Source organism: Homo sapiens, chromosome 2 (genome assembly GCF_000001405.40).
Source record: "Homo sapiens chromosome 2, GRCh38.p14 Primary Assembly".
Lineage (NCBI taxonomy): Eukaryota > Metazoa > Chordata > Mammalia > Primates > Hominidae > Homo > Homo sapiens.
Genome location: NC_000002.12, coordinates 25,019,168 through 25,034,198, shown reverse-complemented (window position 1 = coordinate 25,034,198; position 15,031 = coordinate 25,019,168). Strand labels below are relative to the sequence as shown.

The 15,031-nt window shown below is 45.1% G+C and overlaps 1 long non-coding RNA gene across 1 annotated transcript in view, besides 1 other annotated feature; it reads right to left on the bottom strand.

Moving 5' to 3' along the window:
* The window catches only part of DNAJC27-AS1 (DNAJC27 antisense RNA 1), a 67,583-nt gene that overhangs the window by 5,496 nt on the left and 47,056 nt on the right, over window positions 1-15,031 (bottom strand). The window lies entirely within an intron of this gene.
* Window positions 2,204-2,703: an enhancer, noted in NCBI's record as "H3K27ac hESC enhancer chr2:25254365-25254864 (GRCh37/hg19 assembly coordinates)". NCBI's record gives its function as "activates a minimal SCP1, AML or CMV promoter by ChIP-STARR-seq in naive H9 embryonic stem cells {active_cell/tissue: H9 hESC(naive)}" and the evidence as "EXISTENCE:reporter gene assay evidence [ECO:0000049][PMID:30033119]".

The following is a 15,031-nucleotide window of genomic DNA, read 5'->3' as shown; positions in this document are numbered from 1 at the left end:
CACATGGCAGACAAAGTTGAGTTGAAGTTTGAGTCTATATCTGATGTCTGGTAGGTTAGGACTCGCTCATGTTCTCAATTATGGCACATGTGTTTATTGAGAGCCTACTACAAGCCTACTACTACATACAAGACACGGTGGGGAAAGAATAAAAAGTCCCTGCCATCCAGAAAACTCACAGTTCAGTTGAGAAGGCAAGTCAGGACAGAGAGATGTCTCAGAGAGAGAGAAAAATGGAGTCCTGGCAGAAGCCTAGGAGAGAGGCTCCACCTGGGTGGACTGGGAGGGAGTTAGGGAAGGAGATAGACATGGAGAAAGAACCTAACTTGAGCAAAAGCAGGTGTTGGAAAGTCACGGCTATGTATAAAGAAAAGCAAATGGCACATTTGATAGGAACATATGCTAACTGAAGGGATACAGGGAGAGATGCAGTAAGAAATGCGGGCTTTGGTCCAGTCACAGAAGGCCTTGAGTACCTAAGGACTTTGGCCTCTATTCAGTGAGGAAGATTCTGCTGGAAGCTACGGGGTATCAACAGTGTGAGATGCTGCTAATAGGTGGAGGAAGGAGCAGAAAGGGCTGATGGATGTGGAGCTAGGAGGTCACTGGTGATCGAACATATTTCCTCCCTGACTCATGACCACCTCTTTCGGAAAGGCGGTTCCTGGCATTGGGGGCATTGAAGATGCACAGCAGGGTTATACCAAGGTTGAACCAAGTCTCTTCCTGTTTCCCAGGAAAGAATGGGAAGGGCTTATAAAATTCATCTGCATCCCCATGCGTTCTCTTTCTCCTTCCCTTAGGAAGTGGCCCTTAGGATGTCAAGACATGGGCCGTGCAAGCCTCCTACCTGGGAGGCTTCTTTGGCTTTAAAGGGCTCCGTTGGGCCAAGGGGACAGGAGACAATAAGCTGGCTCCTTACGGCTGACTCTGGCTCTCAGCTGCATTGGCAAGGGGGAAATGGGTCCATACTGGTTTCCACATTGCCTAGCTTGGCATACTGGGTTTCCCACCCAGAGACTGGAGACAGAGATGCCTTGATCAGGAATCAAGACAAGGACTTCGTCAGCAATGTGCCATGTCACCTCTCAGGAATCTAAGAGTGGCAGGAGGCAGCTGGACAAGATACAAGGCCAGCCAAGAGAAGGGAGAACTCAAATGGTGACCTTCAGGTTTCAGGGCGATGAGAGGGAGAGGGAAGAAGCAAGGAATGAGTAGTTGCCAAGCTCCTGCTAGGTGTTAGGCACTGCACCTAGCCCAGTACCCCATGCCTGGCACGTAGGAGGGGCTCAACACATACTTATTGAAGGAAGCATCTTTCTCCCTCTGAGCCTCACAACAACCCTGTGAACTAGATTGGAATTAGGAAACGCATTTTTAAAAGAGCCATTCCCAGAGTCACACAATGAATGGTAGAAGCGGCCGGGCATGGTGGTTCACACCTGTAATCCCAGCACTTTGGGAGGCCAAGGCGAGTGGATCACCTGAGGTCAGGAGTTCAAGACCAGCCTGGCCAACCTGGTGAAAACCCGTCTCTACTAAAAATACAAAAATTAGTTGGGCATGGTGGTGGGCGCCTGTAATCCCAGCTACTTGGGAGGCTGAGCCAGGGGAATCACTTGAACCCGGGAGGCGGAAGTTGCAGTGAGCTGAGATCGTGCCATTGCACTCCAGCCTGGGCAACAGAGCGAGACTTCATCTCAACAACAACAGCAACAACAACAACAAAAAGAATAAATGATACAAGCAGGATTCCAGCCTAGGTCTGCCTATTTCTAAGCTCTGTTCTCTTTCTTCTGTTTCTCACCAGATTGCAAGTAGCTAAGCTGCAGGTTTGTGATGTGGCAACAGATGAAGTAGCAGATGAGTCTGGCCAATGTCACTCTTCTAGGAAGCTCGCTGGGGAACTGAAGGAGGTGATTCACAGAGGGCTTCCCTTCAGCTTGCACCAAGCAGCCCCTGGGGAGCTTGCTGCAAGGCAGATTCTTGAGCTCCACTCCAGACCCATGGAAGAAGCCTGGGTTCCACAGGTAGAGGGAACTGGTGGACATGGCTGCAAGGAGTTGAGAGCAGGCAGCGTAAGAGACCCAGGTCATAGAGCAACGAGGAGGCTGTCACAGGATAAAGAAGGGGAGTTTCCTTTAGTGGTGGTGGTAAGGGGACACCGCTAAGGGGAAACAGAAATGCGTGCAACATGAGACTCTAGAAAAGGAGCTGGTTTTGTAATAAAGAGATGAGAACTAGCAGCACAACTGAATATAATGCTGGGTGTGTGTAAGGGCAAAGTAATTCACAACTTCAATTGACACAGTAACTGTCAGTGAGAGAAGCCAATGGTGGAGGTAACTATTCACAATGGGAGTCCCAGGCATTGGGGAATACAAGGGACAGAGTGTGTGGGTGTTGTCACACTTTCAGAGGACGGTATTAACATTCTCGGGCTCTGCCCTTATCTACTATGTTGTACTCACTCTTTTTTGTTTTGTTGTGTTTTTTTGAGACAGGGTCTTGCTCTGTAACCTAGGCTGGAGTCCAGTGGCACAATCTTGTCTCACTGCAACCTCTACCTCCCAGATTCAAGCGATTCTTATGCCTCAGCCTCCCGAGTAGCTGGGACTACAGACACACGCCACCACTCCCAGCTAATCTTATTTTTTACTTTGTAGACATGGGGTCTCACTATGTTGCCCAGGCTGGTCTTGAACTCCTGGGCTTAAGTGATCCTCCTGCCTTGGCCTCCCAAAGTGCAAGGATTATAGGTTTGAGCCACTGTGCTGGACCCGTACTCACCCTAAAAGAAGATGTGTATGAAAATAATGCAGATGGTCAGACTGAAGCCTGGGAAAGGAGTGCTCAGGGAGCCTGACTTTGGCAGTGGACCTGAAGCAAACGACTCTCTGGGGGACAGGCATCCCTGACCAGCAAACCCAGATATTTCAGGCCCATTGGCAGGTATGTTCCCATAGGGAAGATGGATGAATCCGATGATCAAGCTTAATGACTTTAGATAAACCTGCTGATTCCCTTTGTTCTTTTCCCTGGTTCGCCACGATCTTCTGGTTATATTTTAGCTTATCTATGTGGCTGGCAAATCAGCCAATTTGAACATTTAAGTCCTCTATGTGCTTACATTTCTAACTGTACATGCGCACTCTGGAAACATCCATTTCTTGTGAATCTGCTTAGTATGATATATCCCCAAGAGTGTAGTCACATCTGTCCATTGCTGACTTTACTGAGGCCTACCCCCTGAGGATGTCCTGCCTTTCAAATATTCAACTCTGTTTCCTCTACTTCCTGTTTCTCTCTCTGTAGAGAAGCAATAATTGCAAAAAGGGATCTTGATGAGATATGAGTGTGAGTCAACTCAAAGCAAATCACACGAGGGATTCCTTACTTGCCTTATGATTTAAACTCTTCAAAAAGTAGAAGAAACAAAGGAATGCAGTCTTTTTTTTTTTTTTTTTTTTTTTTGGAGATGGAGTCTTGCTCTGTTGCCCAAGCTGGAATGCAATGGCATGATCTCGGCTCACTGCAACCTCCATCTCCCAGATTCAAGCAATTCTCCTGCCTCAGCCTCTCTAGCAGCTGGGATTACATGCGTGCGCCACCACACTCAGCTAATTTTTGTTTTTAGTACAGACAGGGTTTCACCATGTTGGTCAGGCTGGTCTTAAACTCCTGACCTCAGGTGATCCAACCGCCTTGGCCTCCCAAAGTGCTAGGATTACAGGCGTAAGCCACCACGCCCAGCCTACAATTCTTTTCTTTTTAAAGTAGATACATAAAAGTATTTAGCATACTAAGGAAGGAAACACAGGTAAAATGGACTCAGTAGCAGGAATTTCCCTGTAGTTGTGTTAACGCAGAGCTTCTATTTTGCTTAATCCCATTGGACAAACATTAAGGTAGTTTGGGAAGGAAGTTGACTGGCAGAGTAGGTAATCATCTGTTCATCTGATTAACTGGGTTCATTCTATGGGTCATTTCACTTTTTCTTTTCTTTTCTTTTTTTGTTTTTTGTTTTTGGAAGCAGAGTCACTCTGTTGCCCAGGCTGGAGTGCAGTGGCATGATCTTGGCTCACTGCAACCTCCGCAGCTCAGGTCAAGTGATTCTCCTGCCCCAGCCTCCCAAGTAGCTGGGATTATAGATGAGAGCCATCACATTCGGCTAATTTTTGCATTTTTAGTAGCGATGCGGTTTCACCATGTTGGCCAGGCTGTTCTCTATCTCCTGACCTCAGGTCATCTGCCCACCTCAGCCTCCCAAAGTGCTGGGATTACAGGCGTGAGCCACTGTGCCTGGCCCATTTCACTTTCTTCTTCCCCAAACGACTTGCTCCAAAATGACAACATCATTTCTGACCAACAGGTCATTAAAAGTACTTCTTTCCCAAAACTATTCTGCAGTCTTGTTCCAAGTCCCTTGTTATACAACCAAAACACCAGACACTACCAGACACTCATTGTAAACTCTTACCTCAAGTTATCAATTCTTCAAGACAAAATGGACAGTGAGGTATGCTACATGTTCTGCCTACTGAGAGGATGTCCTTTCTCTCATGTCCTTTAGAAAAAATCCGAGTGGGGTTGTTAATAGATGCGGCTGGTAGGCTGCTCCACATGAGACCACAAGATGTGGGCTGAGGAAGGGGCAGCAATGTGGCAGGAGTTGACGTACTAGACATGTGAACAAATTCTCTTTTATTGTGCCTCCAGGACCTACTTGAACCTGTTCTCACTGCTTTCTAGTAAGATGCTAACCACACCCAACTTTATGGCACTGTGGCTCAAATATTACCAAATTCACAATGGATGACTCAAGATCTCACTGTGACCGATGTTCCATGGGCAACATTCTGTCTTTTTCAAGGCTCAGTAGCAGGCCAAGAGTATCTCTTACAAAGGTAACAGCTGCTTACTGAAGAGGTCACGGATTGACGCAAAACAATAAAGGTCTCCACAGTGATTCTCTTGATCAGGCTTGCCACAAGCTACATGCTGCAACCCAATTTGCCATTGATAACTCAAGCACCATTTGGATCCACTGGGTTGTTAAGGTCAAGTGGCCGAATCACACATGCTGCAACTTGGAGAATATTTTCTTTCTCTGGCCCCTGCTGAAAACTGGGAAGCCTTTCAAGTCACTTGGTAAATGGATTGGAGACGCACACCAAACTGTGGTATGTGTTAGCTAGACAGTCTAAAAAGGGCCGGGCCAGGCGCGGTGGCTCACACCTGTAATCCCAACAGTTTAGGAGGCCAAACGGTGGATCATTTCAGGTCAGGAGTTTGAGACCAGCCTGGTCAACATAGTGAAACCCCATCTCTACTAAAAATACAAAAATTAGCTGAGTGGTAGTGGTATGCACCTGTAATCCCAGCTACTTGGGAGGCTGAGGCAGAAGAATTGCTTGAGCCTGGGAGGCGGGGGTTGCAGTGAGCTGAGATTGTGCCACTGCATCCCAGTCTGGGCAAGAGAGTTCAAAAATAAATAAATAAATAAATAAATAAATAAATAAATAAATAAATAAATAAGGCGGGACTCCATGACTCACGCCAGTAATCCCAGCTCTTTGGCAGGTCAAGGCAGGAGGATTGCTTGCGTCCAGTTCGAGACCAGCCTGGGCAACATGGTGAAACCCTGCCTCTACAAAAAAATACAAAAATTAGCCAGGCATGGTGGCATGTGTGCCTGTTCCAGCTACTTGGGAGGTGAGGTGGGAGAATTGCCTGAGCCTGGGAGGTTAAGGCTGCAGTGAGCCGAGATCACACCACTGCACTCCAGACTGGGTGACAGAGGGAGACCTTGTCTCGGGAAAGAAAAAAAAAAAGTCTAAAAAGGCCAGCAAAGCAGCAAAGCTGGTGCCTCTTTTTTTTTTTTTTTTGGAGACAGAGTTTTGCTCTGTTGCCCAGGCTGGAGTGCAGTGGCGTGATCTTGGCTGCAACCTCTGCCTTCCAGGTTCAAGCAATTCTCCCTGACTCAGCCTCCCGAGTAGCTGGGATTACAGGCACGTGCCACCATGCCCGGCTGAATTTTTTTTGTATTCTAGTAGAGACAGGGTTTTACCATGTTGGCCAGGCTGGTCTCGAACACCTGACCCCAGGTAATCCACTCACCTCAGCCTCCCAAAGTGCTAGGATTACGGGCGTGAGCCACTGCACCTGGCCACTTATGCCTCTTTCTTAGTGATGAGAGTAAAAGGTGCTAAACCTAGTCTTCATTTTGTATGGGCTATTCTGATGGGAGTTAGATCCCCCACCAACCTCTAGAAACGTCACTGAGGTGACAGACTCCTGCGTTGTCTTTTTTTTTGAGACAGTCTTGCTTTGTTGCCCAGGCTGGAGTGCAATGGCGTGATCTCAGCTCACTGCAACCTCCGCCTCCCAGGTTCAAGTGATTCTCCTGCCTCACCTTCCTGAGTAGCTGGGATTACAGGCACCTGCCACCACACCCAGCTAATTTTTGTATTTTTGGTAGAGACGGGGTTTCACCATGTTGGCCAGGCTGGTCTCAAACTCCTGACCTCAGATGATCCACCCGCCTCAGCCTCCCAAAGTGCTGGGCTTATAGGCGTGAGCCACAGCGCCTGGCCAACTCCTGCATCTTCTTAGAATCTCTCTCCTTCCCATCCTCCTTCCCTTACTCTGGTATGTGTTTTATCAAGGTACTTTGGGTACCTGGTACTTCCAGGTCTTCAGATCCTATCATCATGGTGTTATCAGTATTGTAGACTATCACGATGTCCAATGGGATAAAAAGACAATCAGTGTCCTGTGAATTTCATTGTCATCCAGAGACAGATGATAATGTTGAGGAAGATGGTGTGTTGCTCTAGCATTTCTCTTCCAGGTGGGAACAACCCTTTTCCTGGTGTTTTCTAACTCCTGGGATAGAGAACAAAGGCATTAAGGATCATTGCAGTCTTTCAGGTACCACCGGCTACATTAGGAGACCCCATCTGGAACAGCAGATACAAGAGCACTGAGGACCCATGTGGTTTTTCAAGATCCAGCCAGTTTCTGTACTAGCCAAACTAAATAGTTAATGGAAATATAATATAACTCTGCACCTTGCGCCTAATGAGATCCTGGTGATGATTTCCCTGGGGATGTAGTGTTGTTTTGACTGATTTTGGATAGGCAGGGGGAAGTGCAGGTACTTCCAGATGACCCTGTTTACCTATAGGCCTTATTCCACAGGTCAGGAGGCCATTTCTGTGATTCTGAGGATGTCTAGTGGCTAATCACTTGTTTTGGTACTGATGACCTATGTTAAAAAAGCCTTGAAGGGGATGGGCATGCTGGTTCACACCTGTAATCCCAGCACTTTGGGAGACTGAGGTGGGCAGATTCCTTGAGCCCAGGAGCTTGAGACAGCCTGGGCAACAGGCCAAAGCCCCATCTCCACCAAAAAGTATGAAAATTAGCCAGGCATGGTGGCTTGAGCCTGTAGTCCCAGCTACTCTCTGGAGGCTGAGGTAAGAGGATTGCTTGAGCCTGGGAGGTGGAAGCTGCAGTGAGCCATGACTGTGCCACTGTACTACAGCCTGGGTGACAGAGCAAGATTCTGTCTCAAAAACCAACCAACCAACCAACCAACAAACCAACCAACCAACCAACCAAAAATAAAAAATAAAAAAAATACACGAAAAACCAAAAACAAAGAGCTTGAAGGCCTGAAGCTTCTGGTCATCATGCTGGCCTTGATGCCTAAGATGAAAGTCACGTCCCCACACCACTGGCAGTTAAGTGCCACCATTTGGCCTCTGCTGACTGGGGATCTGTCCATTGCCGTTAAAATAAGGGAAGCCATGGCAGCTGCAGCTTCTCCCATAGGCATTCCTGGCCTACTTAGACAGTCACTAAACATTCTCAAAGATGCGGGTATTTTCTTTACTGGCTTTCTGGGCCACCTTGGGGACATAAAAAGAGGACATGTGAATGCCCTCCAGTATTTCTGTCTTCCAGCGTTTCTGAATTCCTTCCTCGCGACACCACTGTGCACCTCCGCTTCATTTGGCATTGTCCTTCATAGTGACTAGGTTTCAGGCAGGCAACCAACCAAGAAAATATTTAGAAACATTTCCAGCTACTTGAGTCAATTTGCTAAATCTGAATTTCTAGAAAGCATACCTGCATTGATAAATTCAGCCGGAATCTAAAATTTCGTTTTTTCCTCCTCAGAAAATCCATTCCTATGTCTGTTCCTCCACATTACTGTAAATTAGCAAATCTTGGGGGTGTGTGTGTGCGTGTGTGTGTGTGTGTGTGTGTGTCTTGTCCAGTGTGTGCTAATCATTAACTCTCTGGTTGTATTTTATAATTGGCCCTCCTGGACATGCTGGTACCTAATTCTAGTTATATGTTTGGAGATAATGAGGAGTCAGGGGAGTAGAACAGGAAAATAATTGGCTTTCTTTTGCAAGATAACTCTCTTAGGTGCATCTTCATGTACAGCAACAATAGCCTCATTACATATAGGCGCAGGCTCTGTTTTGGCTGGTGATGAAGGCTTAGTGTGGCTTGGGGGTACAGAGTTCCCTGAGTTTTTCAGACATTATCATGTTTTCTCATTCCAGTTCTTGAGCGGAAACGCGGTCCTGATCAATGCTCTTTCACATACGGGTCCTAGTGAGGCTAAAAATTCAGCTGACTTTGTAATTTTGGTAATTCCTGGAGTTTGGCTTTCAGTTACCTCTGTCCTATGGCTGTGAGAAATGAGATCCATTTTAGTATGGACTTAGAAAGTGTGTGTGTGTCAATCTGTGTTATGATCTGAGAATTTAAGGAGCTGAGCTTGTCATCTATTTTTGTTGAAGCAGACTAGAGCCAAGAAAAGAAATGAACACCACTCTCAAGTTCTTGAATTTCTTTTGACTTTCCTATAGTTTGCAGGGGCAAATAATTGCTTTAATAAGTAGTGATCTGGAAAATATTTATCTTTTAATTTTTTTCTGCCACTATACAATATCAAGCACATATTATCCCTACATACTAACAGAATTTTTACTGCTCTCAGTCCTAAGTAACTAGGTAGACAGCTCAGATTCCTTCCCTCATCAATTTCTCCAGGGTTCTGTCATCTGCAACCATCTCCTTGTACCAATTTCTCTGTACCAGTCAAGGTTCTTTGTCCAGATATCAGAAACTGACTCTTGCTAACTTCCGCAGAAAAGAAATTTGCTGGAATGGTGTAAGACAGTTCACAGAATCAAGGGGAAGTCCACAACACCAAGATGAAAACCCAGCCAGAGGCCGGGCCGCGGTGGCTCACGCCTGTAATCCCAGCACTTTGGGAGGCCAAGGCGGGCAGATCACCTGAGATCAAGAGTTCAAGACCAGCCTGACCAACGTGGTGAAACCAGTCTCTACTAAAAATACAAAAATTAGTTGGGTGTGGTGGCAGGGGGCTATAATCCCAGCTACTTGGGAGGCTGAGGCAGGAGAATCACTTGAACCCAGAGGGTGGAGGTTGCAGTGAGCCGAGATCGCGCCATTGCACTCCAGCCTGGGCAACAGAGTGAAACTCCTTCTCGAAAAAACAAAACAAAACAAAAAACCCCATCCAGGGACAAAGAGAGGTTGGGCAGCCAAATTCTATCAAGGTCCTGCCACCAGAATAGGGCCACCATGGCTGGAACTGCCACCAGTGGCTACTTGGTGCTTCCACTCTAGGTATCACTGGTAAAGGATGCCCACTCCCACACTTCTCTACTCTCCACTCCTCTACCACTGCAGTGAAAAAACTCCCACCTTCTGTGTCTTTACATCATTCCCCCATCATTCAAAATCCTGATTCACTGAGCCTAGATCACATGCTCTCTTGCTAGAGGACAAGAGAGAGAATTTCTACCTCTTTGGTTTTCACAGTGGAGCCCTTTCTCCACATATGTTTGGATTCCCCCAGATAAGAAGGGCGTTTAGATGCTAGGCAGTCCCACTTCTCCCAGAAAAAATTAGTACAGTCTTCAAACTAAAAAGATTTAGGACAAACGTTGCAAAAAGAGGATGAAAGCCTACAGTAGGTGAAGTAATTTATTTAAAGTAATTATTTTAATAAATACCTCATGTCTAGACACATTTATTTATAAGATGCTAAGGGGACTTGGAAAAGGGATTGCAAAGTAACTATCAATACGCTTTAAAATTTCATGAGAAATTAGAAAGGAATTGCAATTGGGTAGGAAAATAGTGGGTTCTGCTAATCACCAGCTTGGTGTTGAATATTGACAATTAATAGGATCACCTGGTTAAACAGTGTTGCTTGTTGTGAACACCCAGAAAATAATTAAGTGAATACTTGGAGCCACAATGAATTTATTAAGGACAAATCATTGTAACCGTCTTTATTTCCTTTTTGATTTGACTAATAGATTTGTAGACTACTGGTAGACAACAAACAAATGTTATAGGACTGTGTCTTTATAAAGTTAAAAATACTCATATTTATATTTAGTATAAAAATAAAACGTGGTAACTCCAGAAAAGGTAGAGATTTCTACTGAAATAATGAACCCAAACTTCTCACTAAAAAACACTAAAATTATATGAAAGGAATAAGAAAGATAAAAATCCGCAGATAAAGAGATTAGGAGAGGAAACGACAGGACCAGCAATGACAACGCATTTTTGGAAGGTGGAAAATAAATGGATGAGTGGTAACTGACTTGGCAGAACAGAGAAAGCTGGAAGCAAGTGACTCCAAAAGGAGATGCCAACGAAGGAAGACAATTTGGGCAACAGAACGCCAGGAAGTCTCAGGAATCTGAAGCACCGAGGACCTCAGAAGCAAGGAGTGGAGTTGAAAACAGGAGAATTGGGTACAAGCCCTGCTCATGTACATTTCTGGTAATCATTTTACTGGGTTGCTTTTAAATAGAAACTGACAGCCAAAAATCATCAGACATTTGGGAAAAGCTTCTAACATGAAAGACAGGACAAACATTAATATTTGTAGGAAATAACAACAAACATTAAGATTTATAGGAAATAACAAGTCAATACATTTAACATCACCAGAGAGGGAAGAGGAGACACTCCATTCTCAAAAGATGACGTCTACTTTACACTGCATTTGTAGAGCTCTGGGAGTTTATTGCACAGGTAAGAGCCAAATGGACAGACCACCCACGTGCAAGAGCACTCTGGTTTTTTCTTGTTTTTCTGTTTGGGTTTTTGTTTGTATGTTTTTGTTTTGTTTTGTTTTGTTTGTTTTCTGAAGACGGAGTTTTACTCTGTCACCCAGGCTAGAGTGGCATGATCTCGGCTCACTGCAACGTCTGCCTCCTGGGTTCAAGTAATTCTCCTGCCTCAGCCTCCCGAGTAGCTGGGACTACAGGCGCATGCCACCATGCCCGGCTAATTTTTGTCTTTTTAGTAGTGACAGGGTTTCAGCATGTTGGCCAAGCTGGTCTCGAACTCCTGACCTCGTGATCTGCCCACCTCGACCTCCCAAAGGGCTGGGATTACAGGCATGAGCCACTGCGCCTGGCCTGTATGATTATTTTTCGAGTCAGGGTCTCACTCTGTCACCCAGGCTGGAGTGCAATGGCATGATCTTGGCTCAGTGCAACCTCTGCCTCCCGGGCTCAAGTGATCCTTACACCTCATCCTCCCGAGTAGCTGGGACTACAGGCATGTGCCCCCACACCTAGCTAATTTTTGTTTGTATTTTTTTTTTTTGTAGATATGAGGTCTCACTGTGTTGCCCAGGCAATCCACCTACCTCAGTCTCAAGCAATCCACCTGCCTCAGTCCCCCAAAATGCTGAGATTATAGATGTGAGCCATTGCACTCAGCCTGCAGTCTGTTTTATATATTGGGATTTTAAAAACAGTTCTAAAATATTTTAAGGGACTTGACTGAACCAATTAAAGTTTTTTATCATAAGCAACAGAAACTAACACTGGACAATTTAAGCAAAATGCCATTCATTGGGAGTTATGGGGAGTTCACCACATCAAAGGAAAAGATAGAAAATCAGAATTAGAAAGAGCAGGAACCGGGGCAGCTCTGGGCTTCTGGCAGCAGGAATTAATAGCCAGTTGGATCACGGCACAATGCTGTGACACATCAGTTCCAATTTTTCTTAGTCCTTAAAGTCCTTGAAGAGACAGTTCAATGTCCTAGCTTGGGGCAGCTATCCTCCCTCTGGTTAGGGAAGCAAGAGTTGCTTTATTAGACAGTTTCACTAAAAGTAACCCAGTGGGAAAGGGAAATTCCCTCCACCCAAAGAAAGTCAGAGTGATATTACCAGAAGAGGGAAGGAAAACTAGGGAGTGAAATCCCAAATAGCCACACTATCTATGGTTAAAAATAAGTTTAGGCCACATGAATGTGCAGAATTTTAATTTTTTTGTAATGCAAAAGCTGTCCACTAAAAATATGTACAAACATGGATGCAATCAATCTCTTCTTGTTGGACATTTAGGTTGTTTTCTGTTTTTTGCTATTATAAACAAACACCCTTAGAGCCCATATTTTGCAGACATCTCTAAGAAATGGTAATTTGGGACCTTTATCATGACATCCTTATTGACAGAGATGAGGAATTACAGGCTGAAAGATTGCATGTGAAGAACGTTGCTGGACTGTTGACTGCTGTTGACTTGAAGAGGCTTTGCTAGAGTTACCATGATTTTGCCCTTGGCCTCCTTCCGTTCAGCAACTTTATGGATGAGTTAGGCCGGGTGCGGTGGTTCACACCTGTAATCCCAGCATTTTGGGAGGCCAAAGCAGGCAGATCATTTGAGGTGAGGAGTTCAAGACCAGCCTGGCCAACATCGTAAAGCCCCGTCTCTACTAAAAATACAAAAATTAGCCGGGCTTGGTGGTGGGTGTCTGTAATCCTAGCTACTTGGGAGGCTGAGGCAGGAGAATCACTTGAACCCGGGAGGTGGAGGTTCCAGTGAGCCGAGATCACACCACTGCACTCTAGCCTGGGCCACAAAGGGAGACTCCATCTTAAAAAGCAAAATTAAAATATTTTTAAAAATTGATTACCCTGATACAGGAAGGATAAGTGCTATTTGGACAGAGATTCACACTAAAAGGTCTGAGGGGTTTATTAAATGCAAGGTTGATATGACTCCACAGTATGATAAGGCTGCTTATGAAAAAAAAGCCAGTATAAATTTAGCCTGCATTAAAAGAAGTAAAATTTCTAGATCTAGGGCAGTGCTAGGACCCTGTACCTTTTGTCCCAGTCAGACAAAATAGTTTTGGGTTTAATTTTGACCAGTTACACTTAAAAAAAAATTAACAAACTGGAGTGCATATAGAGAAAGGTATCTGGAAGCTATAATGATAATATACTGAGTGCTTACTATGTGCCAGGCACCATGCTGAAAACACTCTAAAAACACCTATGAAGGGCCAGGCACAGTGGCTCACACCTGTAATCCCAGCACTCTGGGGGGCCAAGGTGGGTGGATCAACCAGGGTCAGGAATTCAAGACCAGCCTGGCCAACATGGAAAAACCCTGTCTCTACTGAAAATACAAAAATTAGCTGGGTGTGGTGGTGCATGCCTGTAATCCCAGCTACTCAGGAGGCTGAGGCAGGAGAATCTCTTGAATCCAGGAGGCAGAGATTGCAGTGAGCTGAGATCGCGCCACTGCACTCCAGCCAGTGTGACAGATCAACACTCTGTCTCAAAAAAAAAAAAAAAAAATATATATATATATATATATATATGAAGCAAGCATTATCTTATACCAATTTTACAGATAGGGAACTTGAGTCGTGGGAAGCTAAATCACTTGCTAAGGTCTAAGTAGGAAAGCTGAGATTTGAACCCTGGAGTCCAGTCCTACCGACTATGTGGTCAACCACTACGCGACATTGCTTATCTGAGTAATACAAAGCCAAACAGGTGACTTCACCACCTAAGTGTGATTTGAGGGACTCTGAAAGGATCCTCTACAGAGAAATATCTCACTGGCTAGCTGGATCATACAAACAGGCCAATTATGCATTTGGCTTTATATAGTTCATTCATATCTAGATGCCTAAATACTCTTCTAATTGAAAGTCAGTCCAGGCGTGGTGGCTCACGCCTGTAATCCCAGCACTTTGGAAGTCTGAGGCAGGCGAATCACCTGAGGTCAAGTGTTCAAGACCAGCCTGGTCAACATGGTGAAAGGCCCTCTCTACCAAAAATACAAAAATTAGCTGGGCGTGGTGGCACACATCTGTAATCCCAGCTACTCAAGAGGGTAAGGCAAGAGAATTGCTTGAACCCGGGAGGCAGAGGTTGCAGTGAGCCAAGATCGTGCCACTGCACTCCAGCCTGGGTGACAGAGTGAGACTCAGTCTCAAAAAAAAAAAAAAAGTCAGCTGAGAAAACATTTTTATAACAGAGATTTTGATAAAAATTGCCCCAGGGTCTAGACAGTGGGATTCATTCATTCAACAACTCTATATTGAGTTTTACAATGTCCTTGGTACAGTGGTAGTCCCTGATAATATAATGATGAAAAAGACTGTTTTCTTTGCCCTGGCAGAGTTCTCCAGTGGAGGGTTGAAAATAATTAAGGAAGCAATAGCAGCAAGTATGGGAAGTAAATAAGGAAAGAAGGGGAATTACGGAATCAGATGGGAGGGAAATCTTCCCCAGTCTAGCAGGGTGGGAGTTTAGGGGGTGGAGGTGCATTTCCTTAAAAAATGAAGGCCAAATGGAAACTTGAAGTTGAATCAAAGTTTGCCCAGAGAAGGGAATGGAGAGGAGGGGGAGAGTCCAAAGGCGTATGTTCAAAATTCTAGATATGTGAGATGAGAGGATATGGCTGGCTGTAGGGACGAAGCGTATCTTGACACGAAGTGTGCAATATGGACCAGGGAAAGGTGAGGCCCTGGCAGTAGGTAGGACTTACCCAGAAGAGGCCTCGAAAGCTATTTTACAGAGGCCATTACAGATGCTCCTTGACTTATGAAAGGGTTGCATTCTGACAAATTCATTGTAAGTTGTGAATATCATTAAGTTGAAAATGCATTTAGTACTCCCAACCTCGAAACACTTACAGTAGCC